At 55.3% G+C, this 23,705-nt stretch overlaps 2 protein-coding genes across 63 annotated transcripts in view, besides 5 other annotated features; one reads left to right on the top strand and one right to left on the bottom strand.

Moving 5' to 3' along the window:
* Positions 984-1,273: a silencer, noted in NCBI's record as "silent region_17234". NCBI's record gives its function as "represses an Ori minimal core promoter by ATAC-STARR-seq in GM12878 lymphoblastoid cells {active_cell/tissue: GM12878}" and the evidence as "EXISTENCE:reporter gene assay evidence [ECO:0000049][PMID:35858748]".
* Positions 1,141-4,519, top strand: LRRC73 (leucine rich repeat containing 73). Of its 2 annotated transcripts, none has more exons than NM_001271882.2 (6): positions 1,141-1,281; positions 2,567-2,727; positions 3,067-3,189; positions 3,561-3,661; positions 3,809-4,031; positions 4,179-4,519. In NM_001271882.2, exons 2-6 carry the CDS (start codon positions 2,664-2,666, stop codon positions 4,247-4,249), a joined length of 582 nt encoding a protein of 193 aa, NP_001258811.1. In that variant the 5' UTR covers positions 1,141-1,281; positions 2,567-2,663; the 3' UTR covers positions 4,250-4,519. The 2 variants fall into 2 exon arrangements, with proteins under 2 accessions (NP_001258811.1, NP_001012992.1); NM_001012974.4 differs by having other exon boundaries at positions 1,141-1,973.
* Positions 1,294-1,563: a silencer, noted in NCBI's record as "silent region_17233". NCBI's record gives its function as "represses an Ori minimal core promoter by ATAC-STARR-seq in GM12878 lymphoblastoid cells {active_cell/tissue: GM12878}" and the evidence as "EXISTENCE:reporter gene assay evidence [ECO:0000049][PMID:35858748]".
* Positions 4,520-4,932: 413 nt separating the features above from the next.
* The window catches only part of TJAP1 (tight junction associated protein 1), a 28,985-nt gene continuing 10,212 nt past the window's right edge, over positions 4,933-23,705 (bottom strand). For 6 of the 61 annotated variants that reach the window (XM_017011489.2, XM_047419531.1, NM_001350561.2 and 3 more), the window contains 9 exons: positions 13,510-13,606; positions 12,387-12,564; positions 10,715-10,743; positions 9,800-9,961; positions 9,138-9,204; positions 8,870-8,899; positions 7,979-8,086; positions 7,781-7,864; positions 4,933-6,726 (listed from right to left, as the gene is read on the bottom strand). In XM_017011489.2, the coding sequence (XP_016866978.1) occupies positions 5,632-6,726; positions 7,781-7,864; positions 7,979-8,086; positions 8,870-8,899; positions 9,138-9,204; positions 9,800-9,961; positions 10,715-10,743; positions 12,387-12,485 (1,674 nt within the window). In that variant the 5' untranslated portion in view covers positions 12,486-12,564; positions 13,510-13,606 and the 3' untranslated portion in view covers positions 4,933-5,631. Of the gene's footprint in view, positions 6,727-6,819; positions 6,900-7,780; positions 7,865-7,978; positions 8,087-8,869; positions 8,900-9,137; positions 9,205-9,799; positions 9,962-10,714; positions 10,744-12,350; positions 12,565-13,509; positions 13,607-21,458; positions 21,589-21,683; positions 21,730-23,705 lie in introns of those variants that run through there. The other 55 variants (XM_047419532.1, XM_047419529.1, XM_006715250.5 and 52 more) reach the window with 26 other exon arrangements.
* Positions 14,609-14,658: a silencer, noted in NCBI's record as "silent region_17232". NCBI's record gives its function as "represses an Ori minimal core promoter by ATAC-STARR-seq in GM12878 lymphoblastoid cells {active_cell/tissue: GM12878}" and the evidence as "EXISTENCE:reporter gene assay evidence [ECO:0000049][PMID:35858748]".
* Positions 20,656-21,250: an enhancer, noted in NCBI's record as "H3K27ac-H3K4me1 hESC enhancer chr6:43457975-43458569 (GRCh37/hg19 assembly coordinates)". NCBI's record gives its function as "activates a minimal SCP1, AML or CMV promoter by ChIP-STARR-seq in naive H9 embryonic stem cells {active_cell/tissue: H9 hESC(naive)}" and the evidence as "EXISTENCE:reporter gene assay evidence [ECO:0000049][PMID:30033119]".
* Positions 21,251-21,844: an enhancer, noted in NCBI's record as "H3K4me1 hESC enhancer chr6:43457381-43457974 (GRCh37/hg19 assembly coordinates)". NCBI's record gives its function as "activates a minimal SCP1, AML or CMV promoter by ChIP-STARR-seq in naive H9 embryonic stem cells {active_cell/tissue: H9 hESC(naive)}" and the evidence as "EXISTENCE:reporter gene assay evidence [ECO:0000049][PMID:30033119]".

Here is a 23,705-nt window from a genome sequence, read left to right as displayed (position 1 = left end):
TTGTGTTGATAATTTTCCTGTGGAGCTCTTAATTGAAGCCAAATTTGGCTTTGCCTTGGTGGTACTGGGGCCAGCTCCTTTTAGTTTTTCTGTCTTTCCTCTTAAAACCAACCACCACTCCTAACATAGCACCATCCACCCCCACCACCTCTTTAATATGCTCCACTTAATAAGTTAATTCAGGTGGCTAAGAGTGGGAATAGGGCCTTTGACCTCCCTTCACTATATTGAATATTATATTTTATGTAAAATAATCATCTTAACACTAGTAAATCTGGGTCAGCAGCATCTATCCCTCCTAACAAAGGGACAAACAGAGGTGCCCTTCATTTGTCCTGCGTTACACAAGTGAGTCCCCCACCACCCTGGCCAGAGGACAAAGTTGAGACAGCACCGCCTGCACCGTGCAGTGTGGCTCAGCCGCCTTCACGTCCTCACCAGTGCTCCAGGGCCCTGGCCCTGGCACCTTCTTTGTATTGGCTGCCCCAGTCTCGCGGCACGGACACACCCTCAGATGTCAACAGTGCCCTGCGTACCTGAGAAGGTGTGGCACCAGGACCTTGCATCTATCTGAGGCTCCCCTGCCCTAGGGACCCTATGGGGTACCCTTCTCCCCAGCAGCTCAAGCTGGCTCTGCCCAGCCGTGGCCCCTGGGGCCTCCCTGATGAGGCCGCCATCTTGGCGAGGAGCAAGCGGGGAAGTCCCCATGGGCCGGGATCACCACGCACGCTGCGCCTCGAGTCACGGGGGCGGGAGCGAGGCGCGGCGCGGATGAAAGGGCCCTGGGGCCTTCCAAATAGGAGGGAACAGTGCCCTGGATTCCGGCGGGGGTATGGACCTTAGGAACGGGGAAGGATGGAAGAATGGGCAGAAGCAGCAGTAACCGTGCCCAACGCCATCTCCACGGGGCGTGCCTCCATTCCGCTCCCCGTCAGCCCTACCCACTCAGCCCTGCCGCCTGCCGCCTGCCAGTTGGCTGACCCCACTCCCAAGGGAAGAGCGGCCTATCGCTCCCAGCTCCTTGCCCCGAACCACCCAGTGTACGCGAACCTCGCGGGCCGGCGTGGCCTTGGCCGGGCAGGGGGCGGGGCGAGCGCCGGTGACGCGGCCGTTGCCATGGGAACTCGCCGCCCGCTCGCTCTCTGGAGCTGGAGCCGGAGCTGCCGCCAGCCGCCCGCCTCAGGCTCTCTCTGCCAGCCGTGCGGCCAGGCCCGCGGGGTGGTCGGGGGGAGCCGGGCGGCAGAGAAGGAGGGAGCGGGTACGGCCTCCTAGCCGAGACCGGTAAGCCGAAGCCCTTGAGCCGCTCGCTGCCGCTGCCGCCGCCGCCGCCGCGACCGCGAGGGACAAGGACAAGCGCCGAGCAGCGCCTGCCCAACCCCCGGAACGCGCACCCGCCCCAACGCCCAGACACGGACCGTGCGGGCCGCCCCCGCCCCAGCGCCGCCCCACTTCAGCCCGGCCCGCGCCCTGGACGCCTCCGCACCTCTGGCCGGCTCCGGCTCAGTCCCGGTAGCTCTTCTCCGCCCCCGCCGCAGCCTCCGCCGCAGCCGCAGCCTCCGCCACAGCCGCCGCCTCCACCCCCGGCCCCACTCCGCCCGCGACCCCTGCCGGGGCCCCGACCCCGGCCCTATCCCCGGCCCCGCCCGCGGCCCCACCAACCTCCGTTCCGGCCCCGTACCCGGAGGCCCAGCCGTGGGCACGATGCTGCCCAGCTCCATCCAGATTTCGGGGGAGCCGCTGTCCGGCGCCGAGGTGCGGGACATCTGCCGCGGCCTTCGCGACAACGCCGTGCGCCTGCTCTCACTGCGCGGCTGCCGCCTCTGCGACCGCGACTTTGGCCGCATCTGCCGGGCCCTGGCCGGGGCCACGTCCCTGGCGCAGCTCAACCTTAACCTGGGCGTCGTGTCCAGCCCCAGCCGCATCAAGCAGCTGGCTGAGGCTCTGCGGACCAACCGCTCCATCCAGTCCCTCTTGTGAGTGCGCCCCCTCGCAAGGGGGTCCCGGGCACTGCACCCTTCCATACACTCCCCTGGCACCTCCTGTTCCTCCACACTCCTTCCAGTACCATCCTACCTTCACATGCCTTATGCACATACACCGTGCCTCGGCCCATGCCTTCACAGCACCCTCCAAGCACATGCTTGGACTTTGCACGCGCGACCCTAGCCGTGTTGGGATACCCACCAGTTCCTGACATGAGGTGGGGGCCGTACCTCCCCACCTAATCATCTGCATTTACTTCACTGGGGCAGCTCCTTGGTTCCCAAGGGGGAATATCCCCGTGGGGACGAGAGCCCTGCCCACTGCAGAGTTCCGGTCCACCACCCACCCACCCCTTCTCTGCCCCTCCCTGTGCAATGTCCTGGATCCCTGCCCCAGAAAACAAACCGAATTCTCCCTCTATCTGTATTCCCTGAGAATCTAGAACTTTCCTTCTCCTTTTCCAGGCCTCTCAAGCGCTGTGACTGCCCTCCCCATACCTAGGGCTGACAGAAGTGAAAGTGCCCCTTTCCCATGTAGATAGTGCGGAGGACTGCAGTAACCCTGCTCTCTCACTCTCCTCCAGCCTGCATGGGAGCCCCCTGACAGATGCGGGGCTGGCCTTGCTGAACCCAGCCCTGGCCCTCCACCCTGCCCTCGTGGCTCTGGACCTGGGGGACTGCATGCTGGGTGATGAAGCCATCAACCTCATCTGTGGCCTCCTGCCCCCAGATGGGGCCAAATCTGGTGAGCAGGACCCTGTTGAGGGCTTGGGCTAGTGTGGCAGTGATGAAAATCGAAATGCAGAGGGAAGGGGGTGTGGCCCCAGAGCTCTGATGATGTGGGCGAGAACATCTTTCTACTCCTCTCAGGAAGGGGCAGGACGGGGGGCAGCATGGAGACTCAGGAATCCAGGCTGGGGCAGGCAGAGGAAGCATGGGCCTCCTTAATGGCTCTTGACCTCTATGGTGGGGGTAAGGTGGTGCCCAGCCACTAGGGACACCCCAGAGACACAGGGATTGTGGGGAAGGGCTGGAGGAGGGCTTAACCCTCCCTATTCTGGTTTCTTGCTATGATGCTGCCCAGGCTTGAAGGAGCTAACGCTGAGTGCCAACCCTGGCATCACCCCTAAGGGCTGGAGCCGCCTTGCCATTGCCGTGGCCCACAGCTCCCAGGTCCGCGTCCTCAATCTGGATTACAACCCCCTGGGTGAGGCTCAAGAATACCCCCTTGGGCTGTCACTGCCTCATGCCCTATCCAAGAGCCTGGGACCATCAGTTGACATGGTAACCCGTACACTGGGAGAGGGAAGAGAAACGGGAGCCCCCAGGGGTCAAGGAGATAGCTTTGTGGCGGACCAGGTGACCAACAAATAGATCAAAACATCAGTCACCACCCGTGGGCCTAACTTGCTTCGTGCCTTCACTCACCAATCACAATGATCCCTTCCTGACCACCACCAATTGTCCATGTTTCCTTGGCCAGGGATTAGTATCTAAAGTTGTTAAGGCAATGGGGAAGCTATCTGTAAGGATTAGCAGGCATGTGTATGAATGTGTGCACGTGTGTTGTCTCCCCAGGTGACCATGTGGCAGGAATGCTGGCTGTAGCTGTGGCCTCTAGTCGTACCCTAGAGGTCCTAGACTTGGAGGGCACAGGGCTCACCAACCAGTCAGCTCAGGTGGGAAGTCGTCATGTTTGGGCACGGCCAGGGGATGGGGTGGAGGTTAGTTTATGTGTCTGATGACATACCTAAGGCATGGCAGGTTGAGGTCTGAGGACCTGCCTTAACTGTGTTCATCCTTTTCCATATTCTTCCCCACTTCAGACCCTGCTGGACATGGTAGAAAATTACCCCACAGCTTTGCGGAGCCTGGTGTTGGCTGAGAACAGCATTAGCCCAGAGCTGCAGCAACAGATCTGTGACCTCCTCTCTGAGGGAGAGGAGGAGGAGGAAGTGGCAGGAGGGGCTGGCGACACCCAGGAATGGGAGAGAGGGCGGGAGCCTGCTGCCCACCAGAGAGGCAGCAGCTCCTGGATGTGCCCCAGCGGTAAGAACCCAGAGGGTTGATCAGAGCCAGGTCTGGAAGAGGCTCGGGACAAGGGAGAGTGGGTGTGCAGAACCTAGGCTCTCACCTATCTGTGGTCCCCATTGGAGGAAGGAATGGTGGTCTGAACACTTCTCTGCCCTTCCACAGATCCCAGCTCTCAGATGGTGCTAATGACGTCAGGACTAGGGGACAGTCTGTTGGCTGAGACCGAGATGTGACTCTCCACTGGGCCTCTGCACACCATTTCACTTATCTATGTCCCGAGCACCTTGCCCCAGATATCAGGGTCAGGCCCTGGGACTTGGGAGGGAACTGGGGTCAGGGGCTGCATGGGGGCTCTGGCAGCTCCTGGCAGTGTGGTGGGAAGGAAGCTCTGGAAGCTGTGACTGAGCAACAGCCTTGGGGGGCACTTGAACCCACGGCAATGCCTTTGAACTTGGCAGCTCTGGCTGCAACCCGCTGGCTCGGAAAAGATTTTATGAACTCCACAACCTGTCGTGTGGCTGTAGTCACTTGGGGCCGGCAGTAGGGGAGGAATTGGAACTACCAGTAAGCACCACTAGGGGGCAGTAGCATCGCACAGCCCAAGCTCTAAGCTGCGTGACCTGGTCCAGGATCTCAAAATAGGCCTGGCCAGGCCTAGAACCCAGGCCTCTGAGGCAACACCTTACACTAGCCCCATAAAGATATGGTCCCTGCCTCCGAGGGAAGACTCAGGAACCCTGCTAAGGTTACTTAAGGTGCCCCCTTTCCCGCTCCCTGATGCTCTGTGCCTAGGGAAACCCTAGGCAGAGTGGGGCGAGGGGGAGTCACTAGCCGACTAGGATGAGACTAGGACTGGGAATACTTATGAATGGGGAGAAAAGTGGGAGAGGGGAGGTCATTAAGACAAGTTAGGCCATACCAGTAAAATAGTTTTATTTGATTTTAAAATAGTCATCAATGTGAAAATTTCTCAAAGCTTAAGAGTAACAGTCTAGAGCCAAGGTTGGGAGTGGGGGCCAGGCCTCACACAGAGCCCAGCTTGAGGCCCCTGAGCCCCACCCTCCTTTCCAGAGGGAGGGAGGAGACAGCTGAGGGGGCCCTGAATCAGTCCTCTCCCTCGTCCCCAAGGCCAGCTGTGCCAGGCCCCTGGAGGGCAACAGCTCATGCGGAGGACTGGGGGGGGAAGCAAACAGGTAGGAAACGGAAATGAGGTTAACAATTACACCATCACCCCCAAAAAAAAACAAAATAACAAAACTTGTGACTATGAAAGGATGGAAGATGAATACTGATAAACTCCTCAGCTCCCCAGAAAAGCCCAGTCTGGGCTGGGTTGGGCTGATTGGAGGAAAGGTCTTGAGACCCAACTGCATGTTACCTCTGAAGAATAAATATTCTAAGAAAAAGGGAAAACCATGAGGCAAGCTGCTGCAGTCAGTCAACGCAGCTGACAGGCCTGGCATGGCCCACAACCTGACCCCATCCACACAGGAAACAGCTGTGCGGGTCTGGATAGAGGAGAGGTCAAGGGCTTGGACTGGGGACCCTGAGCTGCCAAGGTGTGGGGACTCCTTGCAGTCCTGGTGCAGCAATGGCAGGAAGGCCAGCAGGGGCCCTAGTTGAGCAGGTTGCCCTGCTCCTGGGCCTGGGTCAGGCTGTCCTTGCGGTGCAGGTGGTGAACCCCCATCCTCTTGGGGCTGCGCTGGGGGCGACTGGAGCTGGGGAGTGGCCAGGCCCTGCCCTCGGTGTGGGAAGTGCCTGGCCCCTCCTCTGTGCCCCTGTTAATGGGCAGCAGGCTCTGGCGCTCTTCCTCAGGACTGATAGGCAGGTTCAGCTCTTCTTCCTCCCTGGGAAAGCCAGAGTCAGGTTCTGTGGGTAGCAAAAGCTCACTCTCTTCGGGTCGGGCAGAAGGTGCCTGGACCACCTCATCTCTGTCAGCGGGGCTATGGGCAAAATGGCGCTGCAGCTCAGGGAGGGCATCGCGTCCAAAGGCTGTGCGCTGGGCCACAGCAGCAGGTGGTGGAGTACGGTCCACAAATGCCCGCTGCCAGCTGACCAGCAGGTCCTCTTCAGAGCTGGCAGAGCTAGCTGGGGCACTGAGTGTTAGGGGTGCTGGGCTGGGCTGGTGGTGGGGTGAGGCCTGGGCTGAGGCAGGGGTGCTGGGCACTGGGCTGGGGCGGGCCCGCTCACTCCCCTCCTCTACCAGGCTCAGGGAAATGGCCTGGCGGGTAGCGTAAGTGCAGTTGGGCAGGGGGCTGTTGCGGGGGATCCGAACCTTATCCTCAGAGAACTCTATTACCCTGCGGCCAGGATACAGTGGGTGTGGTGGAGACGGGGTTGGGTAGGGGTTCAGCTTCTCAAAGGCTGGCAGGGGCAGCTCTTCCTCCGGGGAGCCCCTGGCAGTACCCAGAGAGTGGCACTCCCCATTGGGTTGTGGGGTGGGGCTGCCAGGGGCCGGGGGACTGGCTGGATCACCTGGGACACCCTCACTCATGTCCACATGCACAAAGACATCCTCAGCCAAGGGGCGCCCGGCGCTGCCTGACTGGGCTGAATTGAGCAGTAGAGACTCCGGCTTCTCTAACACTCGGGCAATGACTGAGGTAGGCACCACAGCCCCTGGGGCTAGGCTGGGAGCAGGACCTGGGCTGGCGGCCTCTTGACCACTGTGCAAATGTTTCCGAACCATGTCCTGTAGCTCACAGGGCAGCTGAGGTAAAAGAGCAGGAAAGAGAGACATCAATGATCGCAGCCAAAGATAACTTGACTCATGGCGAAAGTAATGGCTCCCACCTTTAAGTACCTCTGTGTACTCAGCACTCTGCTATCTCCTGTTCTTACAGCATGCCAGTGTGTATACCCTCACTTCACAGACACATAGGCCTGGAGAGGGGAAGACAACTCAAAGCTTTGGTTAACTTGGCCAAGATTTAAACCCGGATCTGCTGCTGCAGCCAGCATGTTCTCAAACTTCTATCTCCCAGCTTCTGCCCAAACCATACTTAAGTTTGGAGAATCTGCATAGACCAGTAGCCTTAGAAATACCTCTACTTCTGGGCCGGGCACAGTGGCTCATGCCTGTAATCCCAGCACTTTGGGAGGCCGAGGCGGGTGGATCACGAGGTCAGGAGATCGAGACCATCCTGGCTAACACGATGAAACCCCATCTCTACTAAAAAGACAAAAAAATTAGCCAGGCGTGGTGGTGGGCGCCTATAATTCCAGCTACTTGGGAGGCTGAAGCAGGAGAATTGCTTGAAGCCGGGAGGCGGAGGTTGCAGTGAGCCGAGATTGTGCCACTGCACTCCAGCCTAGGTGACAGAGCAAGACTCCGTCTCAAAAAAAAAAAAAAAAAGAAATACCTCTACTTCTTCTACTTCTGCAGGCCACATAAACCTTGGGCCTGAAGCTGTGGGGTCTAGAGTTTACCCCTTGGGGTAACATGATCAGATGGGCCTAATCCTCTCTTAGTACTCTTTGGGCAGATAGCTCTGACTACCCTCTCCTTCCTGCCCAGGATCTTCTCTCTCTGTCTCTGTTACAGAAACCAACAGGGCTGGCCCCCCAGAACTAGTGATGGGCCCTGGACAGTACACGGGACACCAACCAGTGGCAGAGTTGACTGGCTTGAGAGGTGACATGGAGGCAAGAGGAGGGCAAAGTGGGAAGAGGAGGACAGAGAGAGGTGCAGAAACTGGAGTTAGAGGAGTCCTACAGTGGCCGGAATGGTCTATGTGGGCAGGGAGGGGGTGAGTTCTACTCACATCGGCAAACTTGTGGTTTCGGAAGTGGGACTTGTTGCACTTGAGGAGCTGTACAGCCAGGTTGCAGTCCAGCCGGTACCGCTCCTACAGACACAGACCTGTTTCAGAGCCCAGCCCAGCCCTCTCCAAGGAAGCAGGGCCGAGCCAGGACAAAGCTAGCCCCAGGTGAGGAAGGCCCGAGTAGTGAAGCGCACATACATTGAGCTCTTCCAGCTTGTTGATGGTGTTCTTGGCATCCAGCAGCTTGTTGGTCAGCTCCACAATCTCCCAGTCCAGCGTCTTCCTATCCATCTCAGCCTTCTTGATCTGAAGCACAGACTTGAGGTTAACCCAGCCCACACTCTAGCCAGCCCTTCCTCTCCCTCCACCTCCTCCCATCCTGGAGACACAAGAGGCCACAGGTGCTAGGGCAGCCAAGGCGGACAGAGCAGAGACAAATGACGGACAGACAGAAGGAGACTGGGCATCTCTCCCGCTCTCTGGACTGGCTGTGGGGTGGGGGCTTTCTTAGCATGACTTCCTGCCACCTGGGCCCAGGACACAGGCAGTATAAGAGCTGTCCATCCCCTGAGGTTCCAGGGGCTCTGGGCACCAGGCAAGGCAGCTGGTACCTCAACGGCAGTAACTGCAAACCAGGGGGCTGAAGCCTCCTATGTGTGCAGCTGTTTCCAGCATCAGGCTAGGAGAGGGAAGAGGAAGCAGGGCGCGGTGGCAGCCAGGGCACCTTGTTGAGCAGGGAGCAAGCTGCAGGCTCAAAAGTAGCCTTCTGATCTCCAGTTCAGGGACTGGATCTGCAGCCTCCCCTCCCCACTCCCACAGCCTGGGCTTGCTGCCACTGGAGCCAAGAAGCTTTGGGTGTTCAGTGGAGACATCAATCAGTACCTCTACCAGAGCCAAGGGCAGAGCAGGCTAGGCTCCCCACCTCTCTCCTGGGAGGGAGGCATTGACAGTTAAACGGGCCTCATACAGGGAAGAGAAAGGAGCGGGTGTACTCAAGGGGCACAGGGTAACAGCCAGGGCCCACAATCCCAGATCTCAGCTGAGGAGAAGGCCAGGGCAAGGGAGAAGACACACAAACTCAGACGCAACTGCAAAAATCCAGCTGTGGCTAAGAGAGGCCTGAGAGGAGAGTGCAGCAGCAACGGTGGCAGCATGAGGGGGAGACGAGGAAAGAAGAGAAACAGTGTGAGCATTAAGACAGTCTTGACTTGCAGAGCACACTGCAGTACCCCCACCACTGCCCCATCCCACCATCTCCCTCAAGCCCCAGGGCAGAGTGGCATTCCCCTGGCAAATCCTGGCCCCCTGCTATGCTATGAGCACAGTGCCCACCAAGCTGCCCTCCCAGACAGATTACCAGTGTGTGCAGCTTGTCCTCCAACTCCTGGTTGGTCCGCTGGGAAGCCGTGTAGCTGTTCTGCAGCCTGAAAAGGGATAATACAAGGCACATCCCTGGGTCAAGATCCTGTTCTTCAGGCTCTGTTCAGCCTCCCCGATAGGGGATCTTGAACATGTCATTCTCCCTCAAGAACTTCAGTTTTCTAATAGGAATTAGATGATCTCTAAGGCATCTTCCAGCTAACCTCCTATGAAAGGAGAGAGAGAGAGAGAGAGAGAGAGAGAGAGAGAGTGTGTGTGTGTGTGTGTGTGTGTGTGTGTCCCCGCATTCCCACACCTGCAGAACTTATCCAGTTTTCTAATAAGAATTAGATGATCTCTAAGGCATCTTCCAGCTAACCTCCTATGAAAGGAGAGAGAGAGAGAGAGAGAGAGAGAGAGTGTGTGTGTGTGTGTGTGTGTGTGTGTGTGTGTGTGGCCCCGCATTCCCACACCTGCAGAACTTATCCAGTTTTTTAATAGGAATTAGATGATCTCTAAGGCATCTTCCAGCTAACCTCCTATGAAAGGAGAGAGACAGAGACACAGAGAGAGAGAGAGACAGAGAGAGTGTGTGTGTGTGTGTGTGTGTGTGTGTGTGTGTGTGTGTGTGTGTGTGTGTCTGGCCCCTCATTCCCACACCTGCGGAACTTATCCTTAAATTTGTCCAGCTCCTCGCGGCTCTGGCCCAGCTCCAGCTCCAGGCAGTCCTGCCCAATTTCCAGCTCACGTTCCAGGGCCTCAGTGCGTCTGGTGGCGGAGGCCAGGCGCCGGCGAAGCTCTTCATTCTCCTCCTGTAAGAGCCTGGCAGGGTGTTGTGGGATCAAGGGCAGAGGGGTATGAGAGATAGAAGGGCATGCCCTGGAGCTCCAGAGTGGGCTCAGGAAGGAAGGGATGACATGAGGACAGGCAAACAGGACAGGGAAACTCCTGGAGTCTTAGTCTGAGTCTAAGGCAGCATATTTCATAGGCCTGCTGGCCCTGGGAACACAGCCTGGGTTGGAGGGTCAGGGGAGGAAGAGGGGATGGTAGGGGACAGTCCAGCCTCCCTTCACTATCGGAGAATAGAAATAAAGAATTGGGGGTAGGGATATGGCTCCCAGCCTGTCTCTGGTTACAGCCCATGTCAGCTGGCCACCAAGCCCCCAGCTCCAGTTTCCCCACTGCACAATCAGGCTTCTCCATTATTCATCTCTTGGAAATCCAGCCCAGCACTGCCCTCCTCTCCAGAGGCCTCATGTGGCTAAAGGGCTGTAAGGGTGGCAGCTGGTACAGGAGCCAGGAGCTGGGGAAGGGCTCCTTAGCAAGAAGAGCAGGGCCCTCAGAGCCATTCGCCTCCTGATTCTACGCTCTCTTGAAGCCCATGGAACAATAAAATCCCATTTTCCAGAAAAAATATCCACAACATCAACACTCCTCCCAGAGTCCCTAAAACAACCCATCCCAACCTTTATTTCTACCTAATCCAAGGGAAAGTCCAACTGTACCAACAGTCTAGCCTGGAGCTAAGAGGGACAGAGTTGAGGCAGGGCAGTATCTCAGGTAGCAGATACTCACTTCATCCTTTCTGCATCAGTCAGGGGTTCCTAGGCAAAAAAGAGAGGCTTGAGGCTCAGCTCTGGACCACTGGACCCCCGGCTGGCTCACCCTCCAAATAGCCACAAGAAGGCTCAGGTGTGAAGCCCAAAGACTCTTATAGCAGAAGAGGGCTGCAGGGCTCTCTACGGATGGAAGCAATTCAGTAATGCTGGGACAAGCCTCGACTACCCTCTCCCATGCCAACCAGAAGATTCAAGAACCTCTTCCAACCTTCACCCTTAATCCAATCCTAAAGCCATTTTCAAATAAGTCCTGGCACCCAAGCTACCTCTCCCCAGGGGCAGACAGCCTCTCAGCTGTTCACTCGGCTCCTGGTGGGTCCTGTATCCACAGAGGTATGGCAGAGACCTTCCAGAAAAGTCAGGCTGAACTATACACACGAGTTCTGAGCTCTGACAAAGCCCTCAGCCTTGAGATGAAGACAAAGGCAGAATCAGGCTCTTGCAGAGGCTCAGGAAGAACAAGTGCATGGGAGAAGAGGACTAATCCTGACTAAGGGGAGGAAGTGCCTTGTCTGTCTTTTAACCTCCTGCCCCATCTTCCCCAAACCCCTATGGCAGTCATGGCTCAAGAGTCAAGTTCAGCCAACCACAAAGCAGAGTAGGCCCCTGCTATCGCGAGAGGGAAACATCAAGGGGCCTATTCTATGTGGAACTGACTGCTTCAGAAGAGCAGCCTCTGGCAGAAAATGGAGGTAGGTGGCTTCCTTTGTCCATTGACTCTGACAACTGGATTTCACCCTATTCTACTGCATACTGATTATACAGCCTTCACCTCACCGAGCCTTAGTTCCCTCATTTATAAAACTGAGGTAATGCTCGCTGGGTAGCACCTAGCATAATAGCTGGCATCTTAATTTAATGTTCCCTGAACTGAAATGAGCAAGTCATGGCTTTTCTACCTTGAATCTGACCAAAGCAGGCTACAGTATGCCTGATGCTCAGCACATGCTGCGTCTCAGGTTCTTTAAATGTGCTCCACGCACTGTGACCAGATGGAGATATGGCTGCAAGGGCAGTAAACCACTGTGGCCCTCGTTTCTGCCTGTGAGTGAAGTTAATGGGGCAGGAGAGCCAATGTTTTGCAGCTGACTATAGGCCCCGAAGAGCAGAGTCCGGACCTAACAGTTCCTGGCAGGGAGTACATATTCAACAAATGTTAGCCAAACAAAGCAAAGCTGGAGGAAGGGCTGGACTTCCTGGGGACAATGAAGAGCAGCTGTGCTGGTGGGAAGTGGCTGTAGCACTGCCTCCTGATATGCCCCAAAGGGGCCACAGGTTGAATGGCTCTACTCCACTACGGAGGACCAGAGTCCCAACCACTAGCAGATTAGGACCCCTCAGTCTACTGGGCTGCCTCTTGCAGGGAGAATATCATATGGGATCATTTCTGCTAAGCTACAAAGACTCAGGGGTTCCCTGACATGTGGACATATACTCACAGACAGTCCCCCTTGAGCCTACATTACCCCCACCTGCACTACTGCGGCTAGGAGACCTCAGGCCTGCAACAGCAAGGCCCACTCTCACCCCAACTCAGGACCAGAAGCTCAGGCAGGAGAAGTCAGCCAGACACCCAGCCTCAGGGGCCTTGCCTCTGCCGGTCAGGCTGTGATACCAGTCTTGCTGACCTCCTGCTCAAGCCGGGATCCAGGAATTTCCAAACGCAGCTCCCGATGCTCTGGTGGTGCCTTACGGTAGGGTTTCTTAGCAGGGGCGGCACTAGTCATTCTGGGAGGTGACGGCTCCTCCGCCTGCTGAGAAGCAAGAAGGAGGCAGGCTCAGAGATGTGGCCAGAAGGACTCTGGACTGAGAAAAAACAAAGATGGTGAAAGGGGACATATGTTGAGGCCACCACATAGGCTGACAGGCCTGGGCCATTACTGGAGTCACTAGAGGGGCAGGACTTAGGTGTGTCAGTCCCCATAGGTCAAAGGAGTGCTGGAGGGTGGGGCATGGGTCCAACGGGGAACAGATGGGTGGGAAAGGCAGGGCCTAGGGCCTGAACACCTAGGTTCTAAGAGTGGGACAGGGAGCTTCAAAGCAGCCCACCACCCTCCTTACCACTCTCCTTTGTGGGCTCTGAAGGCCTCAGAAGGTAAAACTGCTCTCTATGCATTAGTTTTCTCAACTCTAAATTAGCGATAAAACAGCATCAATTTCTTTTTTTCTTTTCTTTTTTGAGACAGGGTCTTGCTCTGTTGCCCAGGCTGGAGTGTAGTGGCGCAATCTTGGCTCACTGCAGCCTCGACCTCCTGGGCTCAAGTAATCCTCCTGCCTCAGCCTTCTGTGTAGCTCGGACCACAAGCATGTGCCACTGCACCTGGCTATTTTTTGTACACAGCGTCTCACTTTGTTGCCCAGGCTCAAACTCTCAAGCTCAAGCAATCCCTCTGTCTTGGCCTTCCAAAGTGCTGGGATTATAGGTGTGAGCTACTGATTCCAGTTAAGAATAGCACCAATTCATAGGGTTGTTGGGAAGATGATGTAAAACACTTAGGAAATGTTGAATAAATGTTAGTTTAAAAAAAATCATAACCAAAAATGTGAGTTTGGGGATACAATCCAGGATCCCCAGTGGGAGTCTCAAGGCCCAAGAGAGCTCTCTGGCCTCAGCCACTGATGACCAAACCCCTGTGGCCTCCACCACTCTTTTCACCAGCCCCCGCCGAGAGAGAACACTTGGCTGCCCCCTCACCTGCCCCTCCCCAGAAGAGAGCCAGGCTGAGGGCACAGGCCTCATCAGGGACATACCGTCTGTTTGTCGGCAGCTCTCTCTGTTCCGCTGTCCGGGAGTTAGCCCTCGGCTCTCCGCATCCCACGGCCCCTCCACTTCCTTTAGCCACAGCTCCTGAAACCAGAGAAGGGAAGAAAGTGGAAACCAGGTGTCAGCCGCCTGTCTGTCAGTGCTACAGGCCTGCTGCCCAGTCTGGGACCTGGAAGGCCCCCCAGGGAGAACCACGGCAGGAAGGCCATGAAACAGAGGGCCTGAGGGGAAAGCGGCTGGAGGCAGATGACTGGAAGCACTGGGTTCCTGCCTTTCTCCATGACAGTACTGTCACAGGCCCAGATGAGATACATGTGTCTGTGTGTTCATGGTCTCAGCACATTGCCCAATTCTGGAATAGGTCCGGTTCCGTCCTGTCCCTACTCCACATCGGTCCTCATCTCCCAAGCCTCTCAGAGTTTGGAAACAACTAAGAGATTTGGGGAACATGGGTTACAAATGAGAACACCAGGAAAAAGCCTCACAGAGATCCAAGAAGATAGAGAAAATGATGGAAAGAGAGCACCTAGCATTTCCAGAAGGAGGCCCAAGGCTATTTGGTGTATAATGATGGTCACCGGCCTTTGCAATGAGGAGGCATAGGGCTAGGAGAAGAAATCTGAAAAGGGAGCAACACAGAGCAGTAGCTCTCAACCAGGCAACTCTGTCCACCCTCCTTCCCCAGGGACGTCTGGCGCCCACTCTCCTTCCCCAGGGACGTCTGGCAAGTGTCTGGAGACATTTTTGGTTGTCGAAACCTGGAGGGAAGGAGTGCCACTGGCACCTAGTGGGTAGAAGCCGGGGATGCTTTGGTCATCCCACAACCATAGGGCAACTCCCACCACAAATGATTCCCAATAGAAAATATCCAGAGTGCCAAGGCTGAGGAACACTCGTGAAGAAAACCCCAGTCGGGGGAGTTGGAGACACCTGGGCTCCAGGCTCAGCACTGACACTGTGGGGCCCTGTGTAATGCCCTTCCTCACTGGATAGCTCAGTTCCTTATCTACACAGAGGTGGCTGGACTGAGTGACCTGTGAGAGCCCCTCCGGCCTCCTGAGGTTCAGAGATGGGTGCACACCCCTCCCTGGCCCCCACCTGTAATTAGCTGGGTTGCAGCACGGGGGCAGCAGCCACCAGTGATCAGGCAGTAACCTCAGGTGGCCTTCTGGGCAGAAAAAACAATCTCTTCCCGCCCCCATCAACCTAAACAGAGCTGGAGGTTGAGGGAAGCCTTGCGGGCTAAAGCATGTGTTCCCACTGTCGGGACATGCCCTGGCCATGACTCCTGTCACATTCCAACAGGGCCCGGGGCAGGGAGAATGGTGAGAGGGTAGGGAGGGTGGGGAAGCAGGAGTGGTCTCCCTCCTCTGTCTGGACAGCCTGGGCCCTGGTTTGGGGTTCGGTGGGGAGCTGAGGTGCGGCAGCACAGGCACGGCCGCCAGCCTCCTCCCCCTGACAGGAGGCAGAACGTGTCCCCACAGGGCACATGCAACATGCTGTGTCGGCTGACTCCCTGCACAGGAATCCGGGTGGGCGGGCCTGAAAGGACGGCACATTCCCGGGGTGTGGGGAGCAAACAAGTTACCCCAACAGGTTCCTTGGGGCTGCCCCTCCAGAGGAGCCCGGGGTGGGTGCTCCTATGGCCTGAGGGAGAGGCCTAGAAAGTCCTAAACCCACCTGGGTATGTGGATTCTGATACTCAGAGGGTAAATGTGTGGGGTGCGTGAGTTGGAAAACAGGGTATGGCCAGAGATGGAAGAGTGAGAGATGCGAGCAGTCAAGAGCTTCTACAAAGTAAAGGGGCAGCTCAGAGAGTTGGTCTCTGCCTTTCCCCTTCTCTACAGAGGGTCCAGGTCCCAGCTCCCTTCCCCCATGTGCTCCCCAGTCATCTCAGGAAGCCCTTTCTCTCTGCAGGCCCCTTTGTGTGCCCCTCCTCTATTCCTCTGTACTCCCTTGTCCCTATTCCTGGCAAGGCCTGTGCTGTCCTCTTGGTACCGAAACACCTGCATGAACGGCAGGCAGGCAGGGAGGACACAAACGCACTTGGGTGTCCAGCAATCCTGTAGGGAAGGCTGCTTCACTCCACACCCTGCAGCCCTGGCTCTAGTTGCCACACATCCTCTAGCTCCTCCTGCCTCACCCTGACCTCAAGCCCCACTCCCTGGCCCTACAGCATGTATTTATCCCCAGGGCTTCCATGGCCAGAGGCGATCTGGCTTGCTAGGCAAGGAGTATCCTGAGAAGGTAGCTGGCAGTGGGACAGGCAGTAAATGCAGACAGACTCTCTGGGGATGGGGGTGGTTGTGATGGGAGGTTATTCTCTCTGCCAGAGCCTATTCTTTCCACGCATGTCAGAGTTACAGGTATGGGAAACCACTCCCAACTAAGGAAGCAGAAGGCAATGCCCACTGGGAAGACAATCCACCAGGGGGCCCATGGTGTTCCTCAACACCAGGCTGCGAGGGAGATGTGTACCAACCACTTCCTGCCCTGTGTCCATAAACACAGGGTGTGCCCAACACCCAGGCCCTAGCTCCAACTTCTGAAATCTGCTGAGTGCCCCAGATCCAGCCCATTAGGGGCCCACAGTTCCAGCAATGAACAGGAATACAACGGGCCTGGCAGCCCACAGTCCTTGACTGGAGGCAAGGAAGGTGTGCAGGGAAAGTCCGGACAGACCCAAGGAGGACAGTGATGCATGGTGCAGTGGATAACAAAGAGAGAAGCATCGGGACACTTGGCCTGCAAGCTGGGAGAAGGTAAAGGGGTGAGGCAGATGGCATCAGAGTGGTCCCTCCAGGAAGACCCAGCTACCAGGTGCAGCCTCCCCTGGCCACATCTCCTTCACCCAAAGGTTTCCCAAGTTGCCTTGGAGTGTTTCAGCCCAAGGAGGACTCCCAATCCCATGTGGGGAAGAAAAGGTCCCTAAGGAGAGCAGCTGGACAGCTCAGAATGGGCCATGGCCCATGATGAGCAAGCGGCAGCCAAGGACAGCCTCTGGGGCCTCCTGGCCTCTGGATGCTGAGCTGGCTCCAGGGCACCTCCCAGAAAATGGTCTTCTGGAGGAAGATCAGGAAATCAACAGAGCTGGCCCAACATGGTGGCTCACGCCTGTAATCCCAGCACTGTGGGAGGCCAAGGCAGGCGGATCACTTGAGGTCAGGAGTTCGAGAGCTGCCTGGCCAACATGGTGAAACCCTGTCTCTACAAAAATTGAACCCAGGAGGTGGAGATTGCAGTGAGTCCAGATCGCGCCACTACACTCCAGCCTGGGAGACAGAGACTCCGTCTCAAAAAAAAAAAAAAAAAAAAAGGAAATCAACAAGGAAGAATCCCACTCCCACCCCCACCCCAAACTAAACCTAAGCCTTGAGGAACTGAGGGCAGATGACTCAGGATGTTGGACTACCAGATAACGTGCTGGGTCTGTTCTGTAAGAACAGCTATGCCCTGGGAGAAAGGTTGAGGCCTAGGTTAAAACCTCTCGCTGACCTAGCGTGGCCTGGGGCTTCTTGGGCTGGACCTGCAGGCAGTGTTGAGGGAGACACCCAGAGTAGCAGCAACCCTTCCCCATCCCATGAAGGTGAAGTGAGAAGGAAAAGGGACTCTCCTCAACCCTCCCTGCCCCTGCTGCATCCTACCCCATCCAACCCCAGCTTCTGCCATGCTCTGCATAGCATTCATTCTTTGCTTACTCAAAAATCAGTTCAAAGGAAAGACTCTACTTCATATCTGCTGGGGTGGAGAGAGGGGTGATAGCTTCCTAATTGCCATGTTGCAATTTGCCAGTCGGTGCAGGCCGCCTGTTGCCGCCTGCCCTGTATTAAATACCTTCTCCCTGATTACAGCCCATGGGGCATGATTAGCTGCCTTCAGAGAACAAAGTCTACTTTCATTAGAAATGGGACTCGGCACGCACAGCAGAGCTGCACTGTGAACCCTCTGAACAGCTGAGCAGAGTGTAGACAGAATAGGTGTAAGGCATGATCTGTACCAGAAGCTGGCTGAGCAGTGTCCTTTAATAAAAGGAAAAAAATTTGCCAAGCATCACTCTTTAACCAGGAGGTGGGACTTATACCTGCTCCCTTTTGTGGGTACGCATATTTGATCAGGGGCTTCCACCGTGGTGGAAGATTGCTGTTGCTAGAGACAGAGTGGTATGAGAGAGAAATCTCTTCAGAATCCTGCTGCTCCCCAATATACTATCTTACCGTTCCCAGCAAGCACCCATAGGAGCAACAGCAAAAAGTTTCCAGCCCAAGAGCCAAAGATGCCGTCCCACTTCCCTTCTGCCATCCTTTCCGGGGTTCTGCCTAAAGCTCAGGCAAAGTCAGAGATGCAGAAGAGGAAAGGAGGTTCAAGCATCCATCCTTCTCCCAGCTGAGGCTGAGGCCATCCCTTCAACACCAGCCCAGGAGAGGGAGACAGGAATCCAGACTGGATATGGTTCTTTGGCTTTTCCAACTTCAGCCTTCCCCACCAAACATCTCCAGCTCCCCACGTTCTGCACTACTACCTCACTCCACAACTCTCCTGATCCTGGAGCAGCTAGCTTGCCCTAGAGAGCAACTACCTCCCTACTCTCCACATCACCAATACCTACTTCAGGTAATTGTGGCCCCATCAGTTTATCTGGGTTCAGATAATTTCTGAACCTACTACGAAGCCTTTCTGCTCTCAGCTGTCAATGAATCAAGCAAGTGAGAGACCTTAAGGAGTCAATGAACACAACCTTCTGAATCAGGAAGGGCCCACACATTACCATGAAAATCATCCAAGCTCTTCTTCATAATTCAACCAAGCAAAGTCAAACGGAAGTTAGTAATCGCTACTGCTTTTAAAATGAAAGGAACACCCAGCCGTTTCAGAATACACCAGCTGTGTTGTATGCCACCTTAATTCCCTTGGAACCCAGCAGGGTATAAATAAATAATAATAAATACAAGCCCTTCCTAAAGCCCCTCATCAACCACTAAAACACAAATGTCTGATCACACAGGGACTGGGGCCTCCCCCTCAGGAACTGTCCTGAGCTGTAAGTGCTGGATGTGGAGTCTCTGAAGTCTGCAAGCCTGTGGGAAGCTGTGCCCCAGTGGGGGTCAGCTACACTCCCGCCACACAAGTCTGGCCGCTTCTCAAGCCTCTGAAATCCAGTCTCTGCCCCCAACTGATGTCTAAGGAACACAAATGGTCACCCTGCAAGCGTAAGCCCTGGAACCAGGTGACCTGGCCTTGGTCCTGGGGATTGCTCATGAAGATCCCCACTCCTTGCACCATTAATACAGCCCCTCTCCCACTGACTCCCCATGAATAGCAGTCCCCCAGAGCAGTGGGCTGATCCCACCAAAACTGGGTTCGGCCTCGCCCACATCGTCTCCGGGGTACCCCTCCTGCTTGCCACCAGCCCCCAGTTTCCGGCATGCAGCTGTTCCTGAGATACATGAGTAAAGCCTTCAGCAATCCCGGGCGCGTGGCAGGCAGGCAGCCAACAGCTCATAGGGTGGGGACTGGGCAGAGGTTCTGCTCTGGGCTGAAGACAAGGCTAGAAGATGTCAGTCTGTGCCCAGACCAGCCCTGCTGCCCCTCCAACAGCTATGCCCGCCACCCCTCTGGGCAAGTACAACCTCACCCTCTTGGGACAAGTTGCCTGCAGCCCTGACCTGGCCCCCTGCCTACTCTAAACCAAACAGATTGACAGGGTTTTGAAAGCCAAAAAGAGTGGGAATTATTCTGCCCCAAAGCAATCCTGAGGACTCAGAACAGTGCTGGTGACCTGTGAGAGCTCATCTGGCTCCCACATGAGCAAACACTTCCAAGTCTATCCACCTGGCCTCACATCCAGACAAACACTTCACAGGAACAAGGGGCTAAAGAGCCAGGCAAACCAACCCCTCCCTGCAAAAAAAGAGGGCAAGAAATCCCCAAGGTCATAGCCTGCATTTGACATTAGACCCCATGCCCTCTCCTAAGAAAGGCCAAAGTGAAGGACCGGCCCTCAACCAGGCCTCAACTCCAGGCCCTTTTGCTTTCCTGGTCAGAGCCAAGTCAAGAAAGCCTCCAGCTTGTTAACTCCCCATTTGGGGTCCCTAAACATCTCTGCATTACTGCTAGTCCCCATGAATAATATATAGTACTATAAATGTTTATTTGTACATAGTACACTCATATATAATACATTATAAGCTCAATCCACATGCATATAAATAGGTATTGTTTATTCCTTAATCAACTATCATACATTCACTATTATTAATCATATAATAAAATTCATTTCCACATGGATATTGATCAGTACTATAAATCCTTAATATTGCATAGTACATATATTCATTTATTGGACGTAGTGCATTTTCATCAAGATATTTCTCATCGGGCCAGGCACAGTGGCTCATACCTGTAATCCCAACACTTTGGGAGGCCAAGGCGGGCAGATCACCTGAGGTCGGGAGTTCGAGACCAGCCTGACTAACATGGAGAAACCCCGTCTCTACTAAAAATACAAAATGAGCCGGGCGTGGTGGCGCATGCCTGTAATCCCAGCTACTCGGGAGGCTGAGGTAAGAGAATCGCTTAAACCTGGGAGGCGGAGGTTGCAGAAAGCCGAGATCGTGCCATTGCACTCCAGCCTGGGCAACAAGAGCGAAACTCTGTCTCAAAAAAAACCCAAAAAAACAAACAGATATTTCTGGTCAACATGGATATCCCCCACCAACTTTGGTCTCTTAATCTATCAACCTCCGAGAAATCATCATCCCGCTCAGGAGTGCTATCCTCCTCGCTCCGGGCCCATAACACACCCTCTCCCATTTACAAGCTCCCACCCAGTGCTGGTAGGCTGCTGCCTTCTCTCACCCAGCCCAAGGGGAACAGAATCCACTTAGGCAGCCTTCTGTTCTCAAGCTCCCCCTGTCCAGCCTCCCTAGCACCACACTGCCTCCGGAAGCCGAAGCCACAGTCTATCTAGAGTGACCTGTGTGGAACACCAGGAAACAACAGGCAATCAACTTTCTCATGATCTCCAGACCCGCCTCTCCTTCCCAAGCCTGGAGGGAGAAGGGACTGCGTGGGAGCTTCTCCAAGCCAGGCTGCACGCACCCATCTCCCAGTCTGAGGCCAGGACTTTTTCTGAGCCCAGTGTGGAATCCGAAGCCAGGTCCTGCCCCCACTCTACTGAGGCACCCTTCCCAGCTTTTCATGGCTAAAGTCCACCAGAAACTCCGGATGTGAAAAGAGGTGGGGGGGACAAACTTCACCTCCCAGAGCAACGGTCACCAATGGGAGTGACATCTCACATGGGTCCCTGGTTTGGGGCCCCAGCATTCAGTTTAAGTAGCTTCACTTTTCTGCCCAGGGAATTCCCCAGAACCAGGTCAAGGTTTTCCTCTACCTCCCCAATCCTAAAGAGAACCTTGCAGCTGATCCTAACTTCTTATCCTAGGGTGAGAGTAACAGGGACACTATCCAACCTTCCCTTCTTGATAAAGGGAGGAAATGATCTGATCTAGGAGAAAAGTCCCTTCCCACTCTAGTTCATCTGTCTCTGAGGCATGAGAAGCAGCAGCAGCATGGTAATTGAGGGATCTTCTCAAACTCTGTGCTAAAAGCACAGATTCAACAGAAACTCGAACCAATTCTGTATGAAGGGAGAAGTGAAGAGCACGCTGCTGACTCGGGGAAGGGTGACGGTGGGGGGTGGTCAGTGGAGCCCAGCAGCAGGCTGGTGATGGGCAGGTGGCCGTGAAGGGGGCACATCCCCACCCACAGCAAAGGGAGACTGGGAAAATAGAGGGACGCAGTAGTAAGAACAAGAGAGCAGAGGAGATGGCGTGATATAAGCTAAGGAGGGAGGCAGCCAGGCTGCGGGGAAGGATGGAGGACAGAGGCCCTGCTGGTGGCACCCCAGGGCAGGTTAGCTGGCTGAGGTCAGACTCACAGGGTTAGTGTCTTCTCCCCAACCAGCCAGCTCTCCTGGTTAGTGCAGTTAGCGACAGACTCATGGCAGATGCCCTCCAGGCACTCCATATAAACAGACAGCTTGGTTTGTGAGCAGCCCAACTCCGGAGCTGCAGAGAGAAAGCAGAGGAATGGCAAGCTGCAGGATGCCCAAGGGGACACACTGCACACTGCACTCTCCTGATGGGAAGCATCGCAGACTTACCACCAGACCCTCAGGGGCTTTCTCCCATCCGGAAACCATGCCAGATGGAAGCCAAGCACTCCCCCTGCCAACCAGGGAGGCCAGCTTGCTGACCTCAGGCAAAAAGCCTCTCTGGTTGGTCAACAGAAAGAGAGGACGGCTGTTGGAGAAGGGGCTCAGCTCCTCTATCTCGCCTGTTCCCCAAACACTGCTGCCAGGCTGCACCAGGACTCTGAAAGCTAGGCTGTAAGAACAAAGCCACCCACAGCTGCAGCTGCAACCCATCCCGCACCAGTGCCAGCAGAGTCCATCCCACCACCTCCCACAGGCTCTGAGGGGCTGGGAGAGAAGCAGCCCAAGGATTAGAGGCTATGACAAGGGCTGCGTCGGAAAGCACAGTACAATGGGGCAGTGTGTGCCTGGCCTACAGCTGGGCCAGTCAACAGCACGGGCTGCACACTGCCGCCTGGCCAGGGGTGGCACTTCCCAGGGAACCAGCCCCAGAGGAGCAACAGGGACTATTCTCCCCTCTCAGAACAAGCAACACGAGCAACAGAGCAAGAAGCTCTCCCATCAACGGCAGAAACAACTCTTCCATGAAGCCTCCAGACCACCCTGGGGGAAGTGACACCTCTAGCTCACAGACTGCAAGGCAAATGAGGCAAAAGCAGTGGCATTCCAGAGACCCCACAAGATGTGTCCCCTGGGGCGGGAGGACAGGACTGCAACACATATATCCACACCCACTGATGCTTAGCAGAGGGTAAGATGTTGGCAGGGAAAAGACAAGAGAGGGGTCCTCTCTCCTGTTCTAGGAAGCCCTGCAGGCTCTCTGATGACTCAGGGCAAAAAGGGAAGAGTCACCACCCTGGCCACAGAGGTGGGCCTGGCCTTTTCCCAAGCCTAGGATCAAGATTCACGCAGACAGGAAACACTTCCAATAATTGCCTACACACTGGGCTCCCCATGTTGCTCTGACTACAGCCCAAGAGCTCAAATAGGCCAAGGCCTGACTATGAAGATGAGACAACTGTCTAGAAAAAAAAGACAACAACTCTTCCGACAGGCCCTGACCCCTGCTCTAGACTGAGCACAGCCACTGACAGGTGACCTTCAGAATCCTCACCCACAAGAAAACAAAAACACCAACTGGGTCTGGTGTGCTTTTAAAAGAGCAGCAAGTGACATGGCTAATTCAAGGTTTCAGAAATCAGGGACTCTCACTGCACTAATATAGGATTTGAGAAATCAGATAATTTTTCTCTTTTCCAAGGCAAAAATGAAATGAGTGAAGGGGAGAGACACAGGTGAGATGGGAGTGCCAATGCCCACATCGCTGTTATATCCATCCTGATTCCCACTCAAGGACACTCCTGCCAATTTCATCTCAGAATAAAAAAATGTCCCTCAGAGACAGCCAGGGTGCCTGCTGTGGCAAGACCCTCTAGTAAAACTTCTCCATCCCTCCCAGGGAGCCAGCCCCAGAGGAACTCACTCGACTGGGAAGGAGGCTGTAACCAGGCTCCTCAGCGGCTCCAACAGGGACCATTCCACTCCTTGGTCACTTAAGTCAACAAAGAAAGCTGAAGAAGAGTCTGTATTAATATTGAGTTTTGGTGAGGAATGTCTAGACGTATAAAAAAAGCTATTAGAGGCCAGGTGCAGTGGCTCATGCCTGTAATCCCAGCACTTTGGGAAGCTGAGGCAGGCGGATCACCTGAGGTCAGGAATTCAAGACCAGCCTGGCCAACATGGTGAAACCCCCGTCTCTACTAAAAATACAAAAAATTAGCTGGGCGTGTTGGCTGGCGCCTATAATCCCAGCTACTCGGGAGGCTGAGGCAGGAGAATCGCTTGAACCTGGGAGGTGGAGGTTGCAGTGAGCCGAGATGGCACCATTGCACTCCAGCCTGGGTGACAAGAGCGAAACTCCATCTCAAAAAAAAAAAAAAAACTACTAGAAGGGTACAAGATAAATGGCGAACAGTGGTTCCCTATCTTTGGGGAAACAAGTTAGGCAGGAACAATGGGAGAAGAAAGGGA

The sequence above is a fragment of the Homo sapiens genome, chromosome 6 (genome assembly GCF_000001405.40).
Source record: "Homo sapiens chromosome 6, GRCh38.p14 Primary Assembly".
NCBI lineage: Eukaryota > Metazoa > Chordata > Mammalia > Primates > Hominidae > Homo > Homo sapiens.
Note: the sequence above shows the minus strand (reverse complement) of the source record. Positions and strands in the feature narration are given on the sequence as shown.